Raw genomic sequence first — 15064 nt, 5'->3', positions numbered from 1 at the left:
CTGTTGAATATATTAAGAAATTCAGACCTACGACTTTAACTTCCCTTCTTCCTGGAGGGGCTTCACTGGCAAACCCCTGCTTCTTAAGTGAGGAGAGGTCAAGGGCATTCCCTAAATTCCAGGTGGAATCTCTTAGACACTAATTAGTAATGGACACACTGAGGAGCTGTTATCTTTCATCTTGCAATCCTTGTAGTTGGGCTAAGTGACTTCTAGTAGTGAATAAATTCAAACAAGTATGAATTAGCGGCAATAGCAATTTAGATTCTATTCAAGTTCCTTATAATGAGATTCTCCTTGAAAACTTTATGGAAATCAGTATGAGTACATATAAAGAGAATGTTATAAAAAAGCAGAACTTAAATATTGAACATAGATAATAACAGTAACAACATCTACTATTTATTGAACTCATGTTATGTGCCGGGGACTAGACTTGGGATTTTACATATGTTATCTTATTTAATCCTCATAAAAAGTCCTAGGAGTTAGTTTTTCAATATTTTAATGAAGAAACTGAAGCTCACAGGGTTTAAGCAGCCTGCACAGAGTTCTACAAGTCCTAAGTTGAGCAATTAATTGGGTTTGAAGGATTTTGATTAGCAATTGTTGACAGCTTCATTTAATATAAATTTTATTTATTTATTTATTGGTGAGTAAAGTACTAGAAAATGTTCAAAATCTTTGGGTTTGCAAAGTTTGTCATTAGCAGGTGACTTTAAGTTGTAAGTTGCTTGACACGGTGACTTTACTTTTTCCTTCCATGTTTTGAGCCATGGGAACAGTTGCAGCTTACAGCAGAGCTGAGGAAAAAATGTTCCACCAGTCAGGTTCTTTTTAAATTGTAACTTACAAGCGATGCTTTTGCCCATCACTGGATCTAGTCAATTATGGAACTCTTGAGTTTTTCCCTAAAGATTTATTCTGCCAAAATTTGGAAGCCTGAAGTTTTGAGATAGGAAAATAATTTATTTCAAAAGTGTTTTAAAAATAATCTTTTCTCAAATACTTCAGAAAGAATATGCCTTCTAGTCATCCCATGAAAGTCAATATTAACACTTTATAAATTTAAAAGGGAAAAATTTGGTTTCAAAAATGATTTTAAAGGATCTAAATTTCTTAGGCATGAACTACTTTTTTACATCTCATCTTTTGCTAATATTGCTTTTGGTTAAGTCTTTTGATTCTATCTTAATAGCTTCTTTAAAATAAACATTTTTAATTAGTCACAGCTCAAGGTATCAAATACGCTTTCCAGAAGGCAAGAAATATATGAAAGTGACAGGAACAATGTCAAGACCACCACGATACACAAAACGTAGATATTTATATTCAGTAAATAATCATTTTACATCCTTTATTACTCCTCAACAGTGATGAGTCCTGCTAGGCAGATAGTTCTAAATATTGTTTTTTTCTACAACTCTCAATATTAGCATGTTTTATAATTTACCTATATACATTTAATATTACAGTGTTCTGATCTAGGTAGACTATGGCCTGTGGGCCAAATCTAGCCCACTACCTATATTTGGATGGCTTGTGAAATAAGAGTAGGTTTTACATGTTTAAATAGTTTTAAAATAAGTACATGAACAATAATTTTGATTTTGCCTCTTGGCCCAAAATATTTACTATCTGGCACTTTAAAGAAAATATTTGCTGACCTCCTTTCTAATGAAGTGTAACTTTCTGCTTATACACATTTATGTCAAGTTCACATTAAGATTTGTTCAGGACTTAATGTGATTTGAAAGGATTCTGGAGCGGGAACAAAGCAAAGGTATAAACATGTGACGTTAGCTGAGTTCTCAGACCCTGAAATGCAGGATGTTTTGAGGTTGGCTGCCCATCTCTTCACTCTGTGTGTGTCCTGTGCAGGCCAACTTGGTGGTGCAAGAGAATCGCCATCTCCTGGCCATGCAGGATCTGCAGAAAGCCCAGGCCGAGTTGGATGACAAGCAGGCGGAACTTGACGTGGTGCAGGCTGAGTATGAACAGGCCATGACTGAAAAGCAGGTAACTGCCCTTTGTCATGGCAGGGACTGTCACATATCTACACGGCTTCTCTCTCCAAGAGTTTGGGTTCTTGTGGGGTTTCACTGAATTTATACATAATACATACATAGCACATAATGGACACCAAGGGTCTTTGATGAGACAACAGGATGGTCAGTCAAGATGGCTGTCAGTGCTGGAACATAGCCATTCTGAGTTTCTTTGTTAGTGGTGTTGGTAGTGATGACAGCATCTTGTGTACTAGCATTTTTGTTATGTTTTTCAAATCATGTCCTCCCATTTTTATCTCATTTAATCTTTGAAGTAACTTGCAAGGTAGGCAGGGTGGGTTTATTTATTTATTTATTTATTTAGACAAAGTATTGCTCTGTCGTCCAGGCTGGAGTGCAATGGCATGATCATGGCTCACTGCAGCCTTGAATTCCTGGGGTTAAGTGATCATTCCACCTCAGCCTCCCAAGTAGCTGGGACTACAGACATGCACCACCATGCCTGGCTAATTTTTTGTAGAGACAAGTTTTCACCATATTGCCCAGGCTGGTCTCGAACTCCTGAGCTCAAGTGATACACCTGCCTCGGCCTCCCAAAGGTTGGGATTACAGGTGTGAGCCAAGGCACCCTAGTGCCTTACCTATCTTTGTTCTCACTTTAGAGCATTCAAGTCAAATGCCTAAAGAGATCACAGAGGAAAAGTACCTGAGTTTCTAAGTAACCAGGATCTTGTCACTTTTTTTTTTTTACTTTAAATACATACTGATTTTTTTTTTTTACAAAGTGGTCTCTCTAGAGTATATAAGCTTTTGGCTTAATAAAATCTGTATCTGCCTCTGATAAATCCAATATTTGGTAAATAATAGCTAGATTCACTCTGTTTTACCTTGATAATTTTATGAAATTCACCTCTACCCCTTCTCAGCCTTTACTTGGCCGAATTGAAATTCCTGCCTTGTTAGTTTTGTAGGGGTCCCAATAAAAGAGTTTAGATAAACATTTCAGTTTCAATATCTGCAGAATGTATGATATAATGTCTTAAAGATAAGTCTTCCACAAGCAAAGTAAATGCTTTTGGAAGCTTTAAAGAAGTAGCACTTTTGAAAAATGTCTGTTCATGTCCTTTGCCCACTTTTAATGAGATTTTTTTTAAATTGTGAATTTCTTTAAGTTCCTTATAGATCCTGGATATTAAGATTTTTTCAGATCCATATTTTGCAATAATTTTCTCCCATTCTAGAGGTTGTCTCTTCACTCTGTGGATAGTTTCTTTTACTGTGCAGAAGCTTTTTATTTTAATTAGATCCCATTTGTCAGTTTTTGCTTTCTTTACAACAGACACTTTTCAAAAAAAGACATACATGCGGCCAACAATCATATGAAAACAAGCTCAGTATCACTGATCACTAGAGAAATGCACATCAAAACCACAATCAGTTACCATCTCACACCAGTCAGAATGGCTATTATTAAAAAGTCAAAAAACAACAGATGCTGGTGAGATTGCGGAGAAAAAGAATGCTTATACACTGCTGGTCAGAGTGTAAGTTAGTTCAACCATTCTGGTAGATAGTGTGGCAATTCCTCAAAGACGTAAAAACAGAAATACCATTGACCCAGCAATCCCATTACTTGATATATACCCAAAGGAATATAAATCGTTCTGTTATAAAGCCACCTGTGTGAATATGTTCATTGCTGCCCTGTTCACAATAGCAAAGACATGGAATCAACTTAAATGTTCAACAGTGGTAGACTGGATAAAGAAAATGTGGTACATGTACACCATGGAATACCACGCAGCTATAAAAAAGAATGAGATTGTGTCCTTTCAGGAACCTAGATGGAACTGGAGGCCATTATCCTTAGCAAACTAACACAGGAACTGAAAAACCAAATGCCACATGTTTTCACTTATAAGTGGGAGCTAAATGATGAGAACACATGGACACATAGACGGAAACAACACACACTGGGGCCTACTGGAGGGTGGAGGATGGGAAGAGGGAGAGGATCAGGAAAAATAACTGACAAGTACTAGGCTTAATACCTGGGTGATGAAAAAATCTTCACAACAAACCCCCATGACACAAGTTTACTTATATAACAAACCTGTACACATACCCCTGAACTGAAAATGAAAATGAAATTATAAAAAAGAAGTAACACTTATCTGGGTTTATATACTTATGCCTCATAAAATTCACTTATGTATGGAAAACATTATGGCAGTCTGAAAGAATCTACTTTGGAAGGAGTGTTAATTTCTACCATTTTGGATGCTCATTTGTATCAGGAAGCTCTACTGAACACAGTGAAAATACTTTACCTTCTCACTTTATTATGTGTACATTTTAACATTTTTACCTTAACTCATTCAGCAAGCTTTATTGTTTTTGAGCATCTGCTATTTGTTAGGTAAATAATCATGGGACCACAGAAGAACTGTAACATCATGGCTCTAACTCTAAAACTTGAATTTCAACAAATGTCAAATTCCGTATTAAAAAAAAATCTGGGCATACCTACAACCAACTTCTGAACTTGATCTTCAGTCATTTTTGTTGCTCTTCTCCCTCCATAGGACTCCATGAAAGTCCAGGGGTTTGTGGGCCTCCCAGAAAGCAGAAGGGTTCCAATCTGCAGTTCACCATGGCCCAGGCCTGCATGGCCCATTGAAGGAGAGTGTGTCCTGGCTGTGCCCCATGCAGAATCCAGTGCCTTTGCCTAGGGTTCAGCTTGCCTAGGCCTGCTGGAGAGCCAGTCACCTCTCTGGGACCTATGAGAGAGTGGGCCTGAGGAGGGGGGTACTACTCAGGGAACCCAGTAAGTCCCGTGTGCTCCCCTCAACAGGCTGGGGGGAACTCACGGAACTTACGGCTTTCTTTCTCTTGCATTGTCAACATTTACTCCTTTCTCTTCTCCCAAATTGTAATCCCCCAAAGAAGCCTGGGCTTCCAGAAAACAAAAGCCAGAAAGGGAGAGGACTGGTCATTTTCTGATTTGGCTGATGGAATTGGGATTGCAGAATTTAGAGAAAGCAAATCAATATTAAAAGTATGTTACAAATAAAAAGTTTTTTTTTTCTAATAAACAATGTAGGATTGTCCTTCCCAGCTGGCACCTTCCCTCTTGAGGGAAACAAACAGATGTGAGTAGCCGTAGTTGGGGGATGGTTCTCTCCGATGGACTGTTAGTTTTTTTGCCTTAACTCCAGAGGAAGAAAATAGATTAGGACGAAGTGGAATAAATATCTTGCTTTTGAAAAACACTGTAATGTGTTATTATTACAAAAGCAATTCATGTCTCTATACAAAATACAGGTAACCCTGGAGATGAACATTAATCATATTCTGTTATTATTCATATCATAATATATGCCTTTCAGATGCATTTTGAACTCAACATAACTGATAATTTAGAAATGCCATTTTATAAATCGAATTTTTAACAATATATTGTGATCTGCTTTCTTGGTCATAAAAATTTTTATAGGATTTTTTTATGGCTTCAGAGTATTCTTATTCATGGATACACTATAATTTATTTAAATAATCCTCTATTGTTAGACATTTAGCATGTGTATATATATTTGAACACCCAGTGACTTGTCAGGTAGCTACACCTTTGTACATACCCATTTTATTTCATAAGTTTAGATTTTTACAAGTAGAATAAGCAATTGTTGCTTAAACACTAAGAAACAGAGCCATTTGTTTTTTGCTTTTTGTGTTTTTTTGAGCGGATTTGAGTGGCACGATCTTGGCTCACTGCAATCTCCACCTCCCAGGTTCAAGTGATTCTCCTGCCTTAGCCTCCCAAGTAGCTGGGATTACAGGTTCCTGCCACCACGCCCAGCTAATTTTTGTATTTTTAGCAGAGATGGGGTTTCACCATGTTGGTCAGGCTGGTCTTGAACTCCTGACCTCAAGTGATCCGCCCACCTCGCAGCCTTCCAAAGTACTGAGATTACAGGTGTGAGCCACCGGAACCATTTGTTTTTAAGAACTAAGCACTGGTCAGGTGCGGTGGCTCATATCTGTAATCCCAGCACTTTGGGAGGCTTAGGTTGGCGGATCACCTGAGGTTGGGAGCTTGAGACCAGCCTGACCAACATGGAGAAACCCCATCTCTACTAAAAATACAAAATTAGCGGGGTGTGGTGGCGTATGCTTGTAATCCCAGCTACTTGGGAGGCTGAGGCAGGAGAATCACTTGAACCCGGGAGGCAGAGGTTGCAGTGAGCTAAGGTCATGCCATTGCACTGCAGCCTGGGTAACAAGAGCGAAACTCTATCCAGCCAAGTTCCATGGGCAGGGGATAAGAGAGAGGACAGGGCAAAGGAGAGAGGACTGGGCTGACAGACACATGGAAATAGAATCTCATGCTTCTTGTGAAGTAATGGCTCACATGTCTCAGGAAGGCAGATAATATGGCGTGTTCTACAATTATATTTTTGAGCCAGTGGCTATGTTTATTTCAGTAAAAGCTTTCTTGTGATTATGACCTTTGTTAGACCTTGCTTGAAGATGCAGAGCGATGCAGACACAAGATGCAGACAGCTTCCACGCTCATCAGTGGCTTGGCAGGTGAAAAAGAAAGATGGACAGAGCAAAGCCAAGAGTTTGCTGCACAAACTAAAAGACTTGTAGGTATGTAAATTTCTTTATTAATGAGATTGTGTGTTGACTGTGATAGGGAATTCGAAAGCTTATACTTTAATCAAATTCCTTTGTGTGTCCAACATGGCGCATGTATACATATGTAACAAACCCGCACATTGTGCGCATGTACCCTAAAACTTAAAGTATAATAATAATAAAATTAAAAAAAAATTCCTGTGTGTGTGTGTGTGCCTCCAGCCATTTCAGAGAAAGAGACATTGTTCTGGCATCTATGCTGTCCTTATTAGATGTGTTAACGACCTTTATGCCTTTTATTATCAGGTCACTTTAGAATTCTGTGAGTGCATGGGTATATTGATGAAGGTCACATTTAATGAAGGCTCTGTCTTATGAGGTTTTATTCTCTTAAACTTAGAGGTCATCTTTTCACTTCTAATGAGAGTAAAGATAATCCAGTGCTTGACTGCTAGTAGGTATCACTTGGTAGGCCACTTGGACCTTATTGACTAATAAACCAGACTACTGCTTATTCACCAGCACAGCCACTTGTGCCTCCAGTTTGATTTGTGGAATTTAGTTTAAAAGAATTATTGTCTTTTTAATTTTTTTCATTTTTAATATGCTGTACAATCACACGGATGAACGTAAAGTATTTCAATGGTGTTTGTTTTCTATTTTAGGGGATGTACTGTTGGCTACAGCTTTTCTATCTTATTCTGGTCCATTTAACCAAGAGTTTCGTGATCTTCTGTTAAATGACTGGCGGAAGGAAATGAAAGCCCGGAAAATTCCATTTGGAAAGAACCTAAATCTCAGTGAGATGTTGATTGATGCTCCTACTATTAGTGAATGGAACCTCCAAGGTCTGCCAAATGATGACTTGTCCATTCAAAATGGAATTATTGTCACGAAGGCATCTCGTTACCCTTTGTTAATTGATCCACAGACTCAAGGCAAGATCTGGATTAAAAATAAAGAAAGCCGAAATGAACTCCAGGTAATTTGTGTTTTAGTATGTTTATGCTACCGGTTAAGTTTTATTGCCTCAGATAAACAAAAATCCAAGAGTAAAGAAATATTTGAAAACACTAGAGATGTTTTTGTAATCCTAGGTAGAGCAGTAGCAGATGCAAGCTTAAATCTAATATAAAAATATTTTCTAAAACTTTCATTATTTGCATTTGTGTTGATCTCTACCAATGCCATCTTTCAATGGTTTCAGGCTATTCTGTCAGGGTCCAGGGCTCTCTTTGATAAGTACAGAACGGCAGAGCTGTATCACACAAAGTGTGCAGCACTTTGCATGAATACTTCCTAATTATTACATTATTATTTGTCACAAAAGTGGTAGTGGTGAAGAAAAAACATTGTTCCCACACAGAGCCTTTACATGCTTCCCAATAAAACAAAATGATAGTTTGTTAAACAACAATGGAAACAGTTACACTTCTTTACAATTTCACCAAGTGTGGGTTTCAAAGCCAAGGATCTCTAAAAATCTATATGAAAGTTGAATGCCCCTTATCCTAAATACTTGGGATCCGAAGTGTTTCAGATTTTAGATTTTGGAATATTTGCATGTACATAATGAGATAACTTGAGGATGGGACCCAAGTCAGAACACGAAATTCATTTATGTTTCATATACACCTTCTTCATATATTTGAAGGTAATTTTATACAATATTTTAAACAATTTTATGCATGAAACAAAGTTTGTGTACATTCAACCATCAGAAAGCATAGGGGTCAGGTGTGGAATTTTCCACTGTGGGCATCATGTGGGCTCTCAACAAGTTTTGTATTTGGGAACATTTTGGATGCTCAATTTGTATTTGTCTCTTGCAGTAGAATGCTTTAGGCTTCATTTGAAAACAGTTATCCCTGTGCATTGCTTCATGGTAATGTCTGCCAATAGCAACCTTGTGATCCTGTTCCTAGATCACGTCTTTAAATCACAAGTACTTCAGAAACCACCTGGAAGACAGCCTTTCTCTTGGAAGGCCTTTGCTTATTGAAGATGTTGGAGAGGAACTAGATCCAGCACTAGATAATGTTTTGGAAAGAAACTTCATTAAAACTGGGTCTACCTTTAAGGTAGGTTAAACCTATGGATGACAATGTGCAGAACAATTACCATGAGGCCAGGTCAATGTGACACAGATAGAATTCTCTCAATAGGCAACAACTTAAATTTGAGTCCTTGGGAAAGGTTTGTTTTTCTCTTCTACACTTCTTGACTTTGGATTAAAATATCCAGGAGCAAGCCTTTTAGGAGTATTGACTTCACTTTTGTAATGTGAAAAGGGTCTGACTGCATTTGATGCTGACAGCTTTGAAGCCTCTCCATGCCCCTCTCCCCTTCTGCCCCACCCACATCTGGGCAAGCTGATAAAACCTGGGTGCCCCCTGCTTTGGCACAGGTTGAAATTCAAACCATGCAATCCCCTGTCCACACCTATGTATGGGAACCCTCACCCCAGCTCTACCCCCTAAACACCACAAAGCCCTAGAGCAGCTGCCCCTCCCTGCTCTCTCAAGCCGGTTTTTGGGACCTGTTTGGGAACCTGCTCTGATCTCTCCCAAAATCTTATCAAGTGAGTAATAAACCTTTTTATACTCTTTCGGTGCATGTGTAGCATCATCAGTCTCAACCTGTGAACTGAATTTTGGGTAAGGGATCCATCTCACTCCTGCAATGTGATCATAACAATTTTGGTGTTAAATTCTATATTCAGTCCATTATATATATGTGTGTATATATATGTTTCTTCCTCCCATCCTTCTTTGCTTCCTTTCTTTCATCCTAGTTGTCTGAAGCTGTGCAGACGCCTCATGACCATTTCTTTTTTAGTATACAAATGATCTCCAATTATGTAATTATTTAAAACAATACTTGATCTGATACAAAAAAGACACAGTAAGGTATATCTCTATTTTATTACTTTTAAATTTCTTTTTATAAAAAAGGTGAAAGTTGGTGACAAGGAAGTAGATGTGTTGGATGGCTTTAGACTCTACATTACCACCAAATTGCCTAACCCAGCCTACACCCCTGAGATAAGTGCCCGTACCTCCATCATTGACTTCACTGTCACCATGAAAGGTCTAGAAGATCAGTTACTGGGGAGGGTCATTCTCACAGAGAAGCAGGTGAGTGAAGTGTGGCTCCCTCCCATTCTGCATTGCTTTAATGTCATATTTCATTGACAAAAATAAGATAATAACAGTTGTAATAGGACTGAGTTTCTCTCCTTTTATTCCCTGTGTTTTTTTCCATTAATCTCCAAGTGTTTTCTTTTTTTCCTAAAGGAAATTATTAACCAGTCATCTACTCATATGTTTCACAAATGTCTCATAAATTACGTATGTCATCGATTGCCTTTATACAGACTGATGATGAAACTACGAGGAATCAGTCTCATTTTCAGCATCATTACTTTGTTCTTAAATTACTTGATTGTTCTGAAAAGTGTGTTCTATTATGAATTCAACTCATCTGTTGACTTTTAATTTTCTAGTACACATCTAGGTTTTTCTTTCATTTGATTCATTATTATGCTTTTAGAATATAAAATTAGAACTTTGTACTCATAACAAACAACATTGTCAGTTCTCATTTGTGATCTAAGAGAGCCCTGTAGTATGTCCTGATGGGATCTGATGTGAGAAGACAGAAGTTTGTGCCACCTGAGTTTCACTCTGTAACTTTTGAAGGCTACTGACTTAATTATGCTAATGAAACATAACTCCATGTCTGCCTTCTTTACTTCTGTTTTATGGAATAACTTAATGCTCAATGAAAAATGGGCACACATTTGTAAACTTCCTTCTTTCGAGTGAGCATTTTCTTTAGGGAGTATGTGAGGCTTCAGCAAAGAAACGTGGAAGATTTTAATGGGAATGTTATGGTGAAACTGCACGAACTCTTAACATTGCTATTGATTTCCTCCTGGGTTCGATAATAATGAGGAATTTAGTTAACTTTATGGCACCTTCTACGCTGACCTGAAGATTATTTATGTTAATACAGTCAGCAAAGTCTTTGGGGTCTGTCCCTCCCCTTGTCTGTACCTTTTCTGTGTGTTGTACGGTGCTTGCCCGTCTGAGCCCTACCACATGTCTATCTCTTTCTCCTCCACTTCCTCCCCTTCTCTCTCCCTTCCCTTTTCCTGAACATTATTGTTAATTTATAGCACATGAATCACAGAGTCATAAAGTTGGAAGCTGCATTAGGAGCATTTAATCCAGCTTCATAAATCGCATGGTTGAGTGATCTCAGAATGGCAGATACTGATTCTGGTTCCTGCCACTGGGTTGCTGTTGTGGTAATGACCGCCTTCAAAATATGTACTTGCTTAGTTTTTGAGTCCCGAGTTAAATCTCAATAGAGGTGGTGAAGGAAATTTAGCATTGTCATGTAATTACTTCAGGCGGGACTGGGATTCTTGAGCAATAGCATGTGACCTGGAGCAAGTGGAAGTTCCTGAGGGTCTTTTGGGCCACCTCTGTCACTGGTATTTGAGACTCTCCTTCCACCTGTAGCCTTGGCTTCATGGAGATAAGGGGCCCTGATGGCAGTTTGAATAATATTCTTGTCCTTGGTTTTCTTATATTCAACTGAATGAATACAGTCTCCTTGGAACAAATAATTTGATCTGACAGACTTGGATTGCAGCAAAACACAACAACAGCAACAGCAACAACAAAAACAAAAATAAGCCCATCACTGGGCCTTAATTCCTGTAGCAGAGGTTTAAGATGAAATAAGGAGCTTGTTAAGCTCATTTGAAAACACTTGGAGCAGCCCTGAAAAGCCAGTATGGATGCAGGACCAGGCTTTTTCTTACTTCTTAGGAAAATTGAGTGTCTTGAGAGAATTACTCCTTTAATATTATCTCATTATCAGAATCTGTTCTGGGCTCACAGTAAATAATTCTTACAAAATGATCAGCCAGAATAATGTGACACTCATTTTTTTTCTTTCATAATAACAGACACTCGTTTTCTTTTATAATGTGAACAGCATTATAACGCCTAACCTTTATTTATTTTGTTCCCAAAATGAGGTCTTGTGATAGAAGAAGTGAGCTGCTGGGCTTCATTTTCATGGATTTTCAGCAGTATGCTTGTTCTAAGAGGCTTTTACTTTTGCAGCTTCTTCACTTCCCAGCATATTCCTGAATCTGCTAACACTGCTGGACCTTCTCAGTCTGGGTGGTGCAGATGGGTCTGAGTTGATCCCTGCTGCTTTTGGGTCATTTCCTACAATCTAGTTACTCAATTGGAAAGAGTCTTATGTGTGCCTTATGAACACAGATATATCAGTTCTGGCCAGGGCAATCAAGCAGGAGAAAGAAATAAAGGGTATTCAATTAGGAAAAGAGGAAGTCAAATTGTCCCTGTTTGCAGATGACATGATTGTATATCTAGAAAACCCCATTGTCTCAGCCCAAAATCTCCTTAAGCTGATAAGCAACTTAAGCAAAGTCTCAGGATACAAAAGCAATGTGCAAAAATCACAAGCATTCTTATACACCAATAACAGGCAAACAGAGAGCCAAATCATGAGTGAACTCCCATTCACAATTGCTTCAAAGAGAATAGAATACCTGGGAATCCAACTTACAAGGGATATGAAGGACCTCTTCAAGGAGAACTACAAACCACTGCTAAACGAAATAAAAGAGGATACAAACAAATGGAAGAACATTCCATGCTCATGGATAGGAAGAATCAATATCGTGAAAATGGCCATACTGCCCAAAGTAATTTATAGATTCAATGCCATCCCCATCAAGCTACCAATGACTTTCTTCACAGAATTGGAAAAAACTACTTTAAAGTTCATATGGAACCAAAAAAAGAGCCCACATTGCCAAGACAATCCTAAGCCAAAAGAACAAAGCTGGAGGCATCACGCTACCTGACTTCAAACATACTACAAGGTTATAGTAACGAAAACAGCATGGTACTGGTACCAAAACAGAGATACAGACCAATGGAACAGAACAGAACCCTCAGAAATAATACCACACATCTACAACTATCTGATCTTTGACAAACCTGAGAAAAACAAGCAATGGGGAAAGGATTCCCTATTTAACAAATGGTGCTGGGAAAACTGGCTAGCCATCTGTAGAAAGCTGAAACTGGATCCCTTCCTTACATCTTATACAAAAATTAATTCAAGATGGATTAAAGACTTCAATGTTAGACCTAAAACTATAAAAACCCTAGAAGAAAACCTAGGCAATACCATTCAGGACATAGGCATGGGCAAGGACTTCATGACTAAAACACCAAAAGCAATGGCAACAAAAGCCAAAATTGACAAAATTGACAAAACTAAAGAGCTTCTGCACAGCAAAAGAAACTACCATCAGAGTGAACAGGCAACCTACAGAATGGGAGAACATTTTTGCAATCTACTCATCTGACAAAGGGCTAATATCCAGAATCTACAAAGAACTCAAAGAAATTTACAAGAAAAAAACAACCCCATCAACAAGCGGGCGAAGGATATGAACAGACACTTCTCAAAAGAAGACATTTATGCAGCCAACAGACACATGAAAAAATGCTCATCATCACTGACCATCAGAGAAATGCAAATCAAAACCACAATGAGATACCATCTCACACCAGTTAGAATGGCGATCATTAAAAAGTCAGGAAGCAACATGCTGGAGAGGATGTGGAGAAATAGGAATACTTTTACACTGTTGGTGGGACTGTAAACTAGTTCAACCATTGTGGAAGACAGTGTGGCGATTCCTCAGGGATCTAGAACTAGAAATACCATTTGACCCTGCCATCCCATTACTGGGTATATACCCAAAGGATTATAAATCATGCTGCTATAAAGATACATGCACACGTATGTTTATTGCGGCACTATTCACAATAGCAAAGACTTGGAACCAAACCAAATGTCCAACAATGATAGACTGGATTAAGAAAACATGGCACATATACACCATGGAATACTATGCAGCCGTAAAAAAGGATGAGTTCATGTCCTTTGTAGGGACATGGATGAAGCTGGAAACCATCATTCTCAGCAAACTATCGCAAGGACAAAAAACCAAACACCGCATGTTCTCACTCGTAGGTGGGAATTGAACAATGAGAACACTTGGACACAGGAAGGGGAACTTCACACACTGGGGCCTGTTGTGGGGTGGGGGGAGAGGGGAGGGATAGCATTAGGAGATATAGCTAATGTAAATGACGAGTTAATGGGTGCAGCACACCAACATGGCACATGTATACATATGTAACAAACCTGCACGTTGTGCACATGTACCCTAGAACTTAAAGTATAATAAAAATATATATTAAAAAAAAACAAGGATAGTACATAGTTTTAAACTTTCTCAAGTTGTTTCTGCTAGAAATTTATTCAAAGGACAATTATTGATATTTTATAGAAAAAAAATGAGCCAAGGGTAAAAGAAAATGGATCAAGCCTGTTTGCTTAACAGAGTCATGAGCGTATTGCCTGCCAATCTTTTCTCTCACTTGGGAGAAACTCAACCTGAATCAAATATTTGCTGTTAATACTAATTGCCTCCCATATTTCATATCCTACCTGTTGTAAATCTTAATTTTAAAATAAGAGGGTTTAAGAGTCACTACCCCATAAATATAGTGATACATATTAGTTATTCACCCAAGATATGATGCTTCATAGGCCTGTGGAAATTCTGACTTCTCTTACTAACAGGCCAGGTGCCCAGGGATCTGTAGTGCACAGTTGCAAACCGTGTGTTGGCCTGTCCTCCCTCTTTCATGCATTCAGATATCACCCTTAGGTATAATAAACTCAGGGCCTTCTGTAATTCCACAAATTTAGTAACCTAACAAATAGATTTGAGTTCACCTGTTAATAGAAGCAGCAACCTGAAGCTTCTGGATTCTAGGTGAACATGATTAGAGACTGAGCACAGGTCTCCTCCCAGGAAGCTGTCTCAACCCATCCTCTCTCTCCACAGCATTGTCCTAGTAAGAGCTTCTCCAAACTGCAAACATCATTACACACAGAAAGAATTGCTCTCAGTGGCTTTTTAACAGAGAAGTTTGACTCATTTCCTTAGTAAAAGTGTTCTAAGAATAAAAAGAAATAAGGTATTTTAAACTTTAAGTTTTTTCAGTAATATTGATGTTATATGAAAACTATTTTTATGTTGTCTTATAAGTCAAAGAAGTAATTATGTTAATTGTATTAAGATTCAATCTTTTTTAAAGTAATGGAAAATAAAGTAAAAAATAAATGAAATCATAAAAAATACAGTCCAAATTATTCCTTTGACTTCAGTGACAATGCAGTGTCTTTGACTATAATCTCACTTCTTGGGTGATTATAAATATAAAATATCAATTTGAAATTTTATTGATTTAAGGAGAGCTGTTGACGTTAGGAAGATT

The 15064-nt window shown here is 38.1% G+C and overlaps 1 protein-coding gene across 11 annotated transcripts in view; it reads left to right on the top strand.

Moving 5' to 3' along the window:
* The window catches only part of DNAH5 (dynein axonemal heavy chain 5), a 321491-nt gene that overhangs the window by 250954 nt on the left and 55473 nt on the right, over positions 1 to 15064 (top strand). For all 11 annotated transcript variants that reach the window (XM_017009177.2, XM_005248262.4, XM_047416886.1 and 8 more), the window contains 5 exons: positions 1882 to 2019; positions 6527 to 6662; positions 7316 to 7632; positions 8576 to 8731; positions 9605 to 9787. In XM_017009177.2, the coding sequence (XP_016864666.1) occupies positions 1882 to 2019; positions 6527 to 6662; positions 7316 to 7632; positions 8576 to 8731; positions 9605 to 9787 (930 nt within the window). The remainder of the gene's footprint in view (positions 1 to 1881; positions 2020 to 6526; positions 6663 to 7315; positions 7633 to 8575; positions 8732 to 9604; positions 9788 to 15064) is intronic.

This window comes from Homo sapiens, chromosome 5 (genome assembly GCF_000001405.40).
Source record: "Homo sapiens chromosome 5, GRCh38.p14 Primary Assembly".
In the NCBI taxonomy this organism is placed as follows: Eukaryota; Metazoa; Chordata; class Mammalia; order Primates; family Hominidae; genus Homo; species Homo sapiens.
Note: the sequence above shows the minus strand (reverse complement) of the source record. Positions and strands in the feature narration are given on the sequence as shown.